The 14,603-nt window shown below is 33.3% G+C and overlaps 1 protein-coding gene across 12 annotated transcripts in view; it reads left to right on the top strand.

The window, feature by feature from the left end:
- MGAT4D (MGAT4 family member D) overlaps positions 1–13,265 on the top strand; it is a 56,032-nt gene extending 42,767 nt beyond the window's left edge. For all 12 annotated transcript variants that reach the window (XM_011531665.4, XM_011531658.4, XM_011531656.4 and 9 more), the window contains 2 exons: positions 4,010–4,117; positions 12,083–13,265. In XM_011531665.4, coding sequence (XP_011529967.1) covers positions 4,010–4,117; positions 12,083–12,091 — 117 coding nt within the window. In that variant the 3' untranslated portion in view covers positions 12,092–13,265. The remainder of the gene's footprint in view (positions 1–4,009; positions 4,118–12,082) is intronic.
- Positions 13,266–14,603: the final 1,338 nt, after the last annotated feature.

Here is a 14,603-nt window from a genome sequence, read left to right as displayed (position 1 = left end):
TACATTCTCAAAAAACAGATACAACATTCACCAAAATAGCCACATCTTGGATCATAAAACAAAGCTTAACAAATTTAAACTGAAATGATTTTTAATGTATGTTCTTGTACCACAATAGAATCAAATTAGAAATCAACAACATAAAGATAACTGAAAAATCTCAAGCACTTGGCAATTAAACACTTCTCAATAAACCCTAGGTGAAGGAAGAAGTTTCAAAGGAAATTAGACAACTCTTTGAAATGAATGAAAATACAGTGTTACAACGCTTCTGGAATGCAGCTAAAGCACTGCTTAGAGAGAAAGCTTATAGACTTAAATCTATATCTTAGAAGAGAAGAAAGATCTCATATTCATAATCTCCACTTCTACATTAACAAACTAGAAAAAAGAAGGGCAAAATAAAAAGCAAAGGAAGAGAGGGAAGAAAATAATAATAGTAAAAGAAAACAGCAAAATTAAAAGCATAAAAATAATAGAGAAAACCAATAAAACCAAAAGGTAATTTTTTAAAAAGAGCAATAAAACTGCTAAGTTTCTAATAAGAGTGACAAAAAATACAGGTTATCAACATTAGTAAGAAAGTGGGAGTTCCACAGCATACTCCACAGATACTAAAAGGATTTTCCATAAGGGAATACTGCAGGCACTTCCATGCATATAAAAGAGCAACTTAAAAATGAAATCCACCAAAAATTGTAAGCTATCAAAACTCATCCAAAATGAAATTGGTAATCTGAGTAGTCCTATATCTACTAAAGAAATTAAATTATTATTTTTAAATCCTGAAAAGGAAATTTCCATGTCCAAAGGGTTTAAAGGTGCATTCTACTAAACAGAGATGAAATAATAACAATTGTATATAATACCTTCTCCAAAATAGAAGAGGAAAGGGTACATCCCAATTCTTTTCATGAAGCTGGCATTATCATGACATGAAAACCAGACAAAAACAGAGCAAAAAGGGAAACCAAGGCCACATATCCCCCAAGTATATAGACAGAAAAATCTTCCCAGTAATAGTAAATTGAATCCAGCAATATGTAAAAAGAAAAATACACCATACTAATTGGTATTTATCCTATGAATACAAAACTGGTTTGTTTGAAAATCATACAGTGTAACCCACCAATTTAAGATTCTGAAGAAGAAAAGCCACATGTTAATATCAACTGATGCAGAAAAATCATTTGACAAAATTCAAAATTCATACGTAATAAAACCTCCCAGCCAATTAGGAATAGAAAGAAATGTCTCTGACATGTTAAAGAGCATCTAGAGAAATCCCATAGCCAACTTCATGTTTAATTGTTGAAAACTGGATGCTTTCTCTCTAAGATTAAGAAAAAAATAACCATGTCCATCCTCACCACTCCTATTCAACATTTTACTGGAAGTTCAAACCAGTGCAATAAAGGGAAAAACAAAGGCACGTGAATTGAAAAGCAAATGCCATGATTGTCTATGTAGAAAATCACAAAGAATAAACACACACACACACACACACACACACATACATCCTAGAACTGATAAATGGGTTTGAGCAAAGTTGCAAGATACAAGGTCTATACACACAAAACTCCATCATTTTTCTGCAAAATAGCAATGAAAAGTTGAAAACCAAATGTATTAGTCCATTTTCACACTGCTATAAGTAACTACCTGAGACTGGGTAATTTATAAAGAAAAGAGGCTTAATTGATTCACAGTTCTGCATGGCTAGGGAGGCCTCAGAAAACTTACAATCATGACAGAAGGTGAAGAGGAGGCAAGGGACATCTTACATGGCAGCAGGAGAGAGAAAGCCAGGGGGTAATTGCCACACATAAAACCATTAGATCTCATGAGAACTCACTCACTTTCATGAGAACAGCATGGGGGAAATTTACCCCATGATCCAATCACCTCTCACCAACTCCCTCCCCTGAAATGTAAGAATTACAATTTGACATGAAATTTGGGTGGGGACACAGAGACAAACCATCTCACCAACATTTTAAAATTACTTACAATATTTAAAAAACATTATATATAAAATATTTATATATCTATATGTGTATACATTTAACAAAATATGTATATTGTCTATATGCTGGACACCTTAAAATGCTAATAAAAAGAACAGAGAGACATACCATGATCATAGATTGGGAAGCTCAACCTAGTAAAGGTATGAATGTTACCCTAATTGGTCTATGGATGTAACACAATTCTAATCAAAATCTCAGCAGGAATTTTTTGGTAGATATTCTACCAAAGCTGATTCTAGAATTTTTAAGAGAAGACAAACGAAATAGATCTACTAAAATAGTTTTGAAAAAGAAGAATAAAGTTGGGAAAATCACATTATTCAATCTGAAAGCTTACTACAAAGCTACAGTAATCAAGACAAGCCACCTTTATTGGCAAAAGGATAAGCATAAAGTTCCATGGAGCAGAATAGGCAGTCCAGAAATAGGCCCACAAAATATAACGAACTGATATTTTACAAAGTGTATGCAATTCAATGGAGAAAGAATAATCTTATCACAAATGTTTACTGGATCAATTGGTGCCATATCTCTCAACCATAATGCGACCTAAACCTCACACTTTATACAAACATTATTTCAAAATAAATCATCTATCTAAACACAAAAAATCATCTATCTAAACACTAAAACTCTTGGAAGAAAATATAGAAAAAATGTTCAGGACCTAGGGCTGGGTGAAATTTTTTTAAATGACACTAAAAGCATTTTTAAAAATTGATAAATTGGACCTCATCAAAATTAAAAATTTTTGTGCTGCAAAAGGTACTGTTAAGAGGATAAGACACCACAGACTAGGAGAAAATATTTGTAAATTCCATATCCAACAAAGGACATGTATTCAGTATATGTATAGAACTCTCAAAACAGGTAAGCAACTCAATTTTTAAAAGGGCAAAAGATTTGAACAGACACTATCCAGACTCCATAAAAGTAGTGATTGTCCTTACAGCAATATGAAATAAGCTCAGCTTTATCAACAGGTTGTTTTGAGGGTGTATTTGCAAAGCCATTATTTTATATGCTAAACTGTAACTCCTCAACCAATTTTATCTGATGCTAATTTAGTTTCAAATTAAATTAACTCTAGACCATTAAATTACTTTACAGTTAAAAGAGAAACTGTTAATATTTCCTATGTATTAGTACTGGGTAGAAATGCATCTAAATAAATGTGTTATGTAAAAAATTACTATATATATACATTTTAGATTTATTTTTCTGAATCTTCTATGTATAAAAATATATAAAATAATTCTCAGTGATCATCATTATTTCAAATGTTTGTGGGGTTTTTATTGTTTGTTTTGTTTTTGTTTTTGTTTTTTAAAAATGGAGTCTCACTATATTGCCCAAGGTGGTCTCAAACTCCTGAGCAATCCTCCCACCTCACCTCTCAAAGTGCTGAGATTACAGGCATAAGCCACTGTGCCTGGCCTTCAAATGTTTGTTTTTAATAGGAGTGGTGCCATAGGTCATCCTTCTTTTTTTTTTTTTTTTTTGAGAAAATTATCCAGATTCTTTTTCATTGACTATAAATTGGTTCTTTGTTTTAATATTATATTTTTTACTCTCTAAGAAGAAATTGAGGTGATATAATTCAATAAAGAAATTAGTCAATGAATATAGGAAGTGAAAGAATGCTGTAGTCTGACAGATATGGATAGAAAAATAACAAGCATTTTATTTGAGTTATTGTAATTAAAAGAAAGAGAGGAAATATAATTGGTACAACACTAACCTGCTTTTCTAAGACAGAGTTCATGCAAATACATGTTGTAATGAAAACCCTTTTTTACCCCAACTCCTTTGCTCTATTCTTATGAAGAAAAAGCTAAGAATTAAATATTTTGTTTATATTTTTAAATATGAAAATAGAACTCTAGCAAAAACTAATATATAAAAATTCTACCATCAGTAAACGCAATACAAAGCAATACCTGGGTTTTTACAGAAGATTGTTGTTTCTTTTTCCCCAGAGAAACTGTATGAAACGAAAGAAGCAAATACGTATTCAGTATAAACCTTCTCTTTTCCAGCATGTGGGTATACATTCATCATTCCCTAGAAAAGAACAATATGAAAAAGTAAGATTTTGAAATGTAACTTTAGTAACATACAATGTTTTATAAACTTATAAAATACTATTTAGAAAAGAAGTGGTGACATAAGACACTATAAAATATGGTTGTTTAAGCAGAATTCATCTTATGACAGTACTGTATGTTGTGAAGAGCATTTATAAATTAAGCAATCATCTTTTAAAGCCCCAAGTTATCTATCATGGTAAGAAGAATTCAGCCTACATAAACTATTTTGCCTTACTGTTCCCAGTTGTGCAATTTTAAGAAGACTAAAAAAGAGTTTTGAAAATTATAATAAAGTTCACTCTTTTAGTCTAAAATTCAAAATTATACTAGAATATTTCAAAAATAAAATCCCTCTACTATTTAATTTAAATGTATCAGAATTTTTATTTCAGACCACTGTTCGTTTTGCCAGATGAAGAAAAATTTAGCGTTGCTTGAATTTTAGTCATTCTTAAAATTTTGCATCATTTTCAGATATAATATTTTTGATAATTAACTTAGCCCCTTAGTGTAGTAGAAGAAACAAGGAATTCAAGGTCAAAGCACCTAGTTTTCAGTCCTGGTGAACTAGGGAGTACATATATGATATTGGGCAGGCTATAACACTCCTCTGAGCTTTCTTCATCTATAAAAGCTTCAAAGAGTTTAAATGATCCTTCAGGTTTCTTCCACCCTCGACACCTCTACCCTTAGTGTCTTTACACTGTGAAAGAAATGCTTGCTTTAATCCTTTGTCAACTGAATGAGAAATAGACGTATACATCTTCCCATCATTCATGACTCTCCCTCTTTCTGCTTTTTCTACTTTGTGTATTGTAATGCACGGTTTGGAACCATGCCTAGAACATAATGTGAACTCAGTAAATGTTAGCTGTTGGCTATCAAGCAAGGTGGAATCCAATAAAGAAAATGTGTCCAACAAGACAAATATGTGCCTGGAATAATGAAAATGTAACTGTTGTGAATCTTTGTGCAAAAAGTCACACCATCAGAATGCATAGCTGTAGATGTGATGCAGAAATAGATTGGTCTATACCATTCTCTTTTTTGATGCTATTATAACGGGATTCTTTCATTATATTTTTTGGCCAGATATGATATTTTAACCTCACCTTTGTAAATTCATGGCATATTAAGTAAATGTAGACATAAACATTCATATTTTGATGTTATAATGCTGGCTTTTTTCCTTTTGATACCTCACACCACACAAAATAGAAGTCAATAACAATTTAATAATATGTCAAATGTGATTATATTTAAATTATTTGTTAAATTTTTAACAGGATGTCTATTAGGAGTTTCATGTTTCTAAAGCTTTAAAAAGTATCAAAATCATTCTTTGGAAATAATGACATAATAAGAATTAGACTATTTCTCAACTTTCTTAAGCGACTACATCATATTTTAAAATATTAATCCTTCAATAAAGTGGCAAGTATAAGAAAATTGGTATAAATATATAGACAATCATCAGATATTTATTAATTTAATTTTAAGTTATTACATTCTATGAATGTTCAACTTTTGTTGCTGTGTTTCCCTTAATATTCATTTCTTTAAGTCTTTTTAAAAAACTTTTGGGTAAAATTTGTTCTTTAACTAGTTAAATTTTGTTTTACCCTTATGATAAAACTTTTTTTTTTTGAGAAGGAGTCTCACTCTGTTGCCCAGCCTGGGGTGCAGTGGCACGATCTTGGCTCACTGCAAGCTCTGCCTCCCAGGTTCACGCCATTCTCCTGCCTCAGCCTCCCAAGTAGCTGGGACTACAGGTGGCCACCACCATGCCGGGCTAACTTTTTTATATTTTTAGTAGAGACGGGGTTTCACCGTGTTAGCCAGGATGGTCTTGATCTCCTGACCTTGTGATCTGCCTGTCTCAGCCTCCCAAAGCACTGGGATTACAGGTGTGAGCCATCATGCCTGGCCATGATAAAATTTTTTAAATGTAAGATAAATTTTCTACAGTTTTATTAAGCAGAAAAATAATTTTATTTATCTCTATTCATCTAGCTTGTAGTTCAAAAAATAATAACTTAATAAAACAAAAATATGCCTTTTTAGTGATGAACTTTCTTAAATAGTTTTTAAATTTTTTGAAATTTGCCTAGATTGTCAGTTTAAATGCTTTTTATCATTTCATATTCTATGTCTATGATAAACATACAAATTTCTTTTGGAAACAAAATATTTCCACATTTGTTAACAAAACCATACTTTCTGAAAATTCAAATAAAAACTTAAAAGAAAGTTTTTTGCTTAATTGATAAGCTAATCGTGTGTATTTCTATGATTTTCTACCTCTCCATTGTATACAAAAAGTCATTTTCCATTTATTACAGTGCACTGGGCATAGGGCCAATTATTTAAATGTACTGCCAGTAGGGTTGCCAGATAAAATACAGGACACCCAATTAACTTTGAATTTCAGTTAAACAACGACTTTTTTTCATGTATGTCTCATTTGTTTTGTTGTTGTAGTAGTTGTTGCTAAATCTACCAAGCCTAGTTGGAGGTGATGAAGGGGCAGGGAGTAGAAGATACTTCCCATAAAAATGCTTTAACTGAAAAGAATACCCACACTCAGAGAAGAAAGGATCAGCACAAGAACTCCAGCAACTCAAATGACCAGAGTGTCTTCTGTCCTGCAAATGACCACACTAGTTCTCTAGCAAAGGCTCTTAATCAGGCTGAAATGGCTGAAATGACAGAAATAAAATTCAGGATATGGATAGAAATGAAGATCTTCAAGATTCAGGAGAATGTTAATACTTAATCCAATGAATCTAAGAATCAAAATATAACAATACAGGAGCTGACAGATAAAATAACCAGTATAAAAAATAATCTAACTGACCTGATAGAGCTGAAAAACACACTACAAGAATATCCTAATGAACTTGTAAGTATTAACAGTAGAACAGACAAAGCTGAGGAAAGAATCTCAGAGCTTGAAGACTGGCCTCCTGAAATAAGATAGTCAAAAATAAACAAAAAGAGTGAAAAAAGAATAAACAAAGCCTCCAAGAAATATGAGATTATGTACACAGGCCAGATCTATGAATCACTAGCATCACCGAATAAGACAGGGAGAAAGCCAACAACTTGGAAAATTTATTTCAGTATATTGTCCATGAAAGCTTCTCCACCCTCGCTAGAGAGGACAACATTCAAATTCAGGAAATGCAGAGAACCCCTGCAAGATATTAGAAGATCATCCACAGGACACATAATTATCCGATTTACGGAAGTCAAAATGAAAGAAAGAATGCTAAAGGCAGCCAGACAGAAAGGGCAGGTAACCTGTAAAGGGAACCCCATCAGGCTAACAGTAGACCTCTCAGTTGAAACCCTGCAAGCCAGAAGAGATTGGAGGCCTATATTCAACATTCTAAAAGAAAAAATATCTTCAACCAAGAATTTCATATCCAGCCAAACTAAGCTTCCTAAGCAAAGGAGGAATAAGATCCTTTTCAGACAAGCAAATGCTGAGAGAATTCATTACCACCAGACCTGCCTTACAAAACCTCCTGAAAGGAGCACTAACTATGGAAAGGAAGGACTGTTACCAGCCAATGCAAAAACACATTTAAGTACACAGACCAGTGACATTATAAAGCAACCACACAAACAGGTTTGCATAATAACCAGCTAACAACACAATGACAGGATCAAATGCACACATATTAATACTAATCTTGAATGTAAATAGGCTAAATCCCTCACTTAAAAGGCAGAGTGGCAAGCTGGATAAAAAAGCAAGTCTTCAAGAGATTGGTATGCTGTCTTCAAGAGATCCATCTCACATACAGTGACTCTTATAAGCTCAAAATAAATGGATGGAGAAAAATCTACCAACAAATGGAAATCAGAAAAAAGGCAGGGATTGCAATCCTAATTTCAGACCAAACAGACTGTAAACCAACATCAAAAAAGACAAAGAAGGGATTACATAATAGTAAGGGGTTCAATTCCACAAGAAGAGCTAACTATCCTAAATATATATGCACTAAACTCAGGAGCACCCAGATTCATAAAGCAAGCTCTCAGAGACCTACAAAGAGACGTAGACTGCCATACATAATAGTGGAGACTTTAATACCCCACTGACAGTATTATACAGATCATCAAGGCAGAAAATTAACAAAAGATATTTAGGACCTAAACTCAACACTCGACCAAATGAACATAATATATACCTACAGAACTCTCTGCCCCAAAACAAGATATACATTCTTCTCATAACCACATGGCACATACTCTAAAATCGGCCACAAAATTGGACATAAAACAATCCTCAGCAAATGCAAAACAAAACCTCAAAATCATACCAACCATGCTGTCAGACCACAGTACAATAAAAATAGAAATGAAGACTAAGAAAATTGCTCAAAACCATACAATTACATGGAAATTAAACAACCTGCTCCTGAATGACTTTTGAGTAAATAATGAAATTAAGGCAGAAATTAAGAAGTTCTTTGAAACTAATGAGGACAAAGGTAAAACATACCAGAATTTCTGGGACACAGCTAAGGCAGTGTTAAGAGGGAAATTTATAACACTATATACCCAAATCGAAAAGCTAGAAAGATCTCAAGTTAACAATCTAACATCACAGCTAAAAAAAAAAAAAAAAAAAAAAAAAAAAAAAAAAAAAAAACTAGAGAAGCAAAAGCAAACCAGCTCCAAAGCTACCAGAATACAGGAAGTAACCAAAATCAGAGCTGAACTGAAGGAGACTGAGACATGAAAAACCATTCAAAAGATCAATGAATCCAGGAGTTGGTTCTTCAAAGAAATTAATAAGACATATGAACCACTAGTTTAATTGTAATAATGAAGAAAAGAGAAAAGATTCAAATAAACACAATTAGAAATGACAAAGGAGACATTGCCACTGACTCTACAGAAATACAAATAACCATAAGAGACTGTTATGAACACCTCTATGCACACAAACTAGAAAATTTAGAGGAAGTGGATAAATTCCTGGATACATACACTCTCTGAAGACTTAACCAGGAAGAAAGTGAATCCCTGAATAGACCAACAACAAACTCCAAAATTGAATCAGTAATAAATAGCCTACTGAACCAAAAAAGCCCAGGACCAGACAGATTCACAGCCAAATTCTATTAGATGTGCAAAGAAGACCTGGTACCATTCCCACAGAAACTATTCCAAAAAATTGAAAAGGAGGGACTCCTCCCTAAGTCATTCTGTGAGGCTAGCATCATCCTGATACCAAAACCTGGCAGAGACACAACAACAACAAAAAAACTTCAGGCCAATATCCTCAATGAACATCAATGCAAAAATCCATAATAAAAAACCAGCAAACCAAATCCAGCAGCACATCAAAAAGCTAATTGACCACAATCAAGTAAGCTTTATCCCTGGCATGCAAGATTGGTTCAATATACACAAATCAATAAATGTGATTCATCTCATAAACAAAACTAAAGACAAAAACCACATGATAGGCTTTCAATGGTACTGGTACAAAAACAGACACATAAACCAATGGAACAAAATAGAGAGCCCAGAAATAATGCCACACATCTACAGCCATCTGATCTTCAACAAAGCTGACAAAAACAAGCAATGGGGGAAAAGACTTCCTATTCAATAAATGGCGCTGGGATAACTGGCTGGCCGCGTGCAGAAGATTGAAACTGGACACCTTCCTTACACCATATACAAAAATCAACTCAAGTTGGATTAAAGCCTTAAATGTAAAACCTGAAACTATAAAAACCCTGGAAGATAACCTAGGAAATACCATTCTGGACACAGGAACTGATAAAGATCATATGATGAAGATTCCAAAAGGAATTGCAATAAAAACAAAAGTTGACAAATAGATCTAATTAAACTAAAGAGCTTCTATATAGCAAAAGAAACTATTAACAGAGTAAACAGACAACCTACAGAATGGGAGAAAATATTTTTTAAAAACTATGTATTTGATAAAAGTCTAATATCCAGGATCTGTAAAGAATTCAAAGTTACAAGCAAAAAACAAACAACCCCATTAAAAAGTGGGTAAAGGACACAAACAGATGCTTTTTAAAAGAAGACATACATGCAGCCAAGAAGCATATGAAAAAAAATGCTCAGTATCACTAAGCATTAGAGAAATGCAAACTAAACCCAAACCACAGTGAGATACCATCTCACACCAGTCAGAATGGCTATCATTAAAAAGTCAAAAAATAGGGCTGGGCATGGTGGCTCATGCCTGTAATCCCAGCACTTTGGGAGGCTGAGGTGGGTGGATCACCTGAGGTCAGGAGTTCGAGACCAGCCTGGCCAACATAGTGAAACCCCATCTCTACTAAAAAAAATACAAACATTAGCTGGGCGTGGTGGCACGTGCCTGTAATTCCAGCTACTTGGGAGGCCAAGGCCAGAGAATTGCTTGAACCTAGGAGGCAGAGGTTGCAGTGGGCCAAGATCGCACCATTGCACTCCAGCCTCGGCAACAAGAGCAGAACTCCATATCAAAAAAAAAAAGGCAAAAAATAAAAGATGCTGGTGAGGTTGCAGAGAAAAAAGAACACTTATACAGTGCTGGCAGAGTGTAAATTAGTTCAATCATCATGGAAAGCAGTGTGGCAATTCCTCAAATAACTAAAAACAGAACTATCATTTGACCCAACAATCCCATTACTGGGTATATACCCAAAGGAATACAAATCGTTCTACCATAAAGACACATGCACACATATGTTCCTCTATTCACAATAGCAAAGACACAGAATCAACCTAAATGCCTATCAGCGATAGACTGGATAAGGAAAATGTGGTACACATACACCATGGAATACTACACAGCCATAAAAAAGAACGAGATCATGTCCTTTGCAGGCACATGGATGCAGCTGGAGGCCATGATTGTTAGTAAACTAACACAGGAACAGAAATCCAAACACTGCATGTTCTCACCTATAAGTAGCAGCTAAATGATGAGAACGCATGGACACATAGAGGTGAATGACAGATACTGGGGCTTACTTGAGGGAGGATGGTAGGAGGAAGGAAAGGATCAGGAAAAATAACTATCGGGTACTATGCTTAGTACCTGGGTAGCAAAATAAGCTGTACACCAAACCCCCGTGACACAAATTTACCTATATAACAAACCTACACATGTACCCCTGAGCCTAAAATGAAAGCTTTTTTAAAAAAAATACTTTAACTGAATTATTACTTAAGGTCATGCCCTTGACTTTTATTAAAGGATGATATATTAGTACAGTATAACATTTTTGCATTTTCTTCAAAACTGTTATTTAAAGTTTTATGATTCTCTTTTATGTGAAAATACATGCAACAATTCTCTTTTAGAATTTGATGCTGGGAAAAGATATTTCTCAAAAAACTGTCATGATTTATTTGGTTTTGTGTGGGGTTTTTTCCCCTTTGACTAACAAGAAATTCAAAACTCATTTCATATGATATGTAGTATCCATATAATCTTATATTAAAAGCAGAATTTCTTCAGTCCTCATTTTAAATTTAATCTCTGGCTTTCTCTCATATATTATTATTAAAGGATTATTGTGTTTTCACTTTAAATTACCCTAAACCTTTACTATAGTTTTGTTATAAAAATCAAATAAAATAAATGTTTTAAACTATTTATATATTACCTACAATGTTTTGTTGGCTGTAATGATAATCTGACTATAAAGATTTCCCCGGAATCCCACAGATGGAAATCTGCTTTCAATCATTTTAACAACGTAAGAGTATTAAAATTGGCATTGTCTAATACATCTTGAGAATCTTATCTTCTCTCAATATAAAGTTACCTTCTCTATATAAAAAGTGTGGGTGGTATCAAAGAGGATACAATAAGGAAATAATATGATTAAGAAATTGCTATGAAAATAATTTCATCTTTATGAATTAATATATTATTTCTAGATGTTACATTTTTTGTTTTCATTTCAGAAAATATGAAGATAAATAAGAAGAAACTCTGTAATACCTGGAACCTCAGATAACCTTGATATCTAATGGCATGTTTCAGAAATTGTAGTAATGAAAATACATAATTATCTAGCAGATAAGTAAACAATGCATAAACTAGTAGACTTGAAAGTACTAAATGACTTCTTATGTCAAGACAAGGTAGAACATTTATATTGCTTTTACCCTATTACAATTTAATTTAAAAATACTAAAGGCAAGGAAGTTTTTTTTAAATTAAGAACTGCACTTTATTGACTTCGATAGTGAGACCATCACATAATCTCAATAAACAGTTAAAAGTTCGAAAGCTTGCTATTGTCAGGGAGAAGTTTGGGGTGAATTGGTATATGCCGTTATCCATTTTGTTAAGACACCTAAAGAAATAGAAAGCACAAATTTAAACAAGCCTGGATCTGACAGTGCCACAATGTCTTCTTGTCTATTAATAGATGCATTTAAAACTATAAACTTATCCCTATGTGCCATTTGAACCGATTATCAAACATCTTGATATATATGTATTCTTATAGTCATTTAGTTCTAAAGATTTCATAGTTTCTCTCATCATTGCCTTCTTAACACACAGATTATTTGGGAGTTTTTTTCCCAAATATATTGGTTTTCTCCATCTTTTATTGTTAATTTCTAAATTACTTGCATAGTGGTTATAGAACTTTACCTGTGTGATAAAATTTTGAGAATTGTTGTGAATCCTTGTGTTCCATATGACTTTGGAAAGAATGTATAGTTTCTGTATACTCCCTTTTAAATATGTTATATTCATTTGTTTTTAAAAGTGTTGGTTTTGTGCTTTAAAAATATCTCTTAAAAGTATTCCTATCTATTGGGTGCAAAATTCTCTTATATCAGGCTTTCTAATTTGGTTGTTGAAAACTTTTCACTCCTTACTAATTTCTATATGCTTGATCCATCAGTTTCTACAGGGGCCCATTAAAATCTATTTTTCTTCTTGATGTTATTCTGTAAGGTATTACTTATTTTGAGCAATAATAAGTGATATTTATTTGTTATCCTTTAATCAAATATTGTGAAATTCTTCATTTCCCATTGTTGCCTTATTCTTGAGTGCCAAGATCTCACACATTCGCCTCAGTATGAACTGTATCAAATACCAATTTATAAAGATAATATGAAAGACGAACTATTTCTGTGTGTCCATTTCATTCTCACCTTTGAGAAGAAAATAAGGTATTGTATGTATGTTAAAAAGATTTTAAATTTGACTTAAATTTTGAACTTTGGAAATTAAATCTGCCAAAGCATAGTCCCGGATAATATGAAGAATTACAACTAAGTCTAGGAACAGTATTTCTTGAAAAGATAGTAACATTCCTTGAAAAGGTGCTTACTTGGACTTCTTATCCTACCATTGAAGACTAGAACAAAATACCTAAATGATTAAGACCATAAGCTAGGATAAATACTAAAAGAGCCTATCCAACATTCTGCTGAATGTCAAGAGAAAGCTGAGATGATTCCAAGGGAATGCTGCTGCGGTGCTCAGAAAGAGGCATTTGAACCCTGACTGAGATACAGCGAGAGTGAAAGATGCTAGAAGAAAAAAGGGGGAAGAGAGTTAAAGACAGCCTTAAAAGTCCAACCCAATTACCATTGTCATTAAAGAAATGATTCTTGATTAAGAGTGGGTGGCCAGCACAAAGTATTTCTAGAAAATATTTCTAATGCAGCCAAAAGAGATGCCCCTAACTTCCGTCCTCACCCCTGCTGCTTGCAAATGTGGATGCTTAGAGGATCCATTTACCATCCATGGCCTTTGGTCTGAGATACATGAGGAAGGGGAGATTTGGAGAACCCCAGACACTTAATCTGGAGTAGAGCAAAGCAAATAGTGCTTCATTGGTTGGTTTGGGCATTTGTTTTATAGCATTTATGCTGATTTTGCTTTATTAAAATCACTCTTCTTCAAACCTACATGAAGACAAATGATGATGTATAATAGATAAGTTTGTAGAAACCAGATTCTCCTGAAATCTTTTTTCATAAATCTACTTTTGAAGCAAATAGAAGCTCTGCAAACATTAGAGACATAAGTAAAATTATCTCTATTGCCAAAATTTATCTCTCAAGTATTGAGATAAGAAAGCCACGAACACCTGCATTATTTATTATTGACTATATGAAGTAAATAGCAATGTAGAAATATTACTACTAATAATTAGTAATTAATAGCAATAGTCAATGTGGCTCCACTCTTGGGTAGAGGAGAAAGAGACACCCTCTACTAACATAGGTGTGTAAAAATGTCTCAGGGTTAATTGTGTACTCTTGCATAGACCTTTCACCCTGTAGTAGGTTTGTGACAATTGTGAACAAATTTACCAAGATAAATCTGGGCAGGCATTCCCGTGGGAACACATCTCCTTGTGTTTCCTTTTTTTAAAAACAGCCTTGGCTTACATTTTTAGACACCGTGTTCATTTTAATGGTAACTCTGGTAATGAAATATGAGAAAATTTAT

This window comes from Homo sapiens, chromosome 4 (genome assembly GCF_000001405.40).
Source record: "Homo sapiens chromosome 4, GRCh38.p14 Primary Assembly".
In the NCBI taxonomy this organism is placed as follows: Eukaryota; Metazoa; Chordata; class Mammalia; order Primates; family Hominidae; genus Homo; species Homo sapiens.
This window is presented reverse-complemented; position numbering and strand designations above follow the sequence as displayed.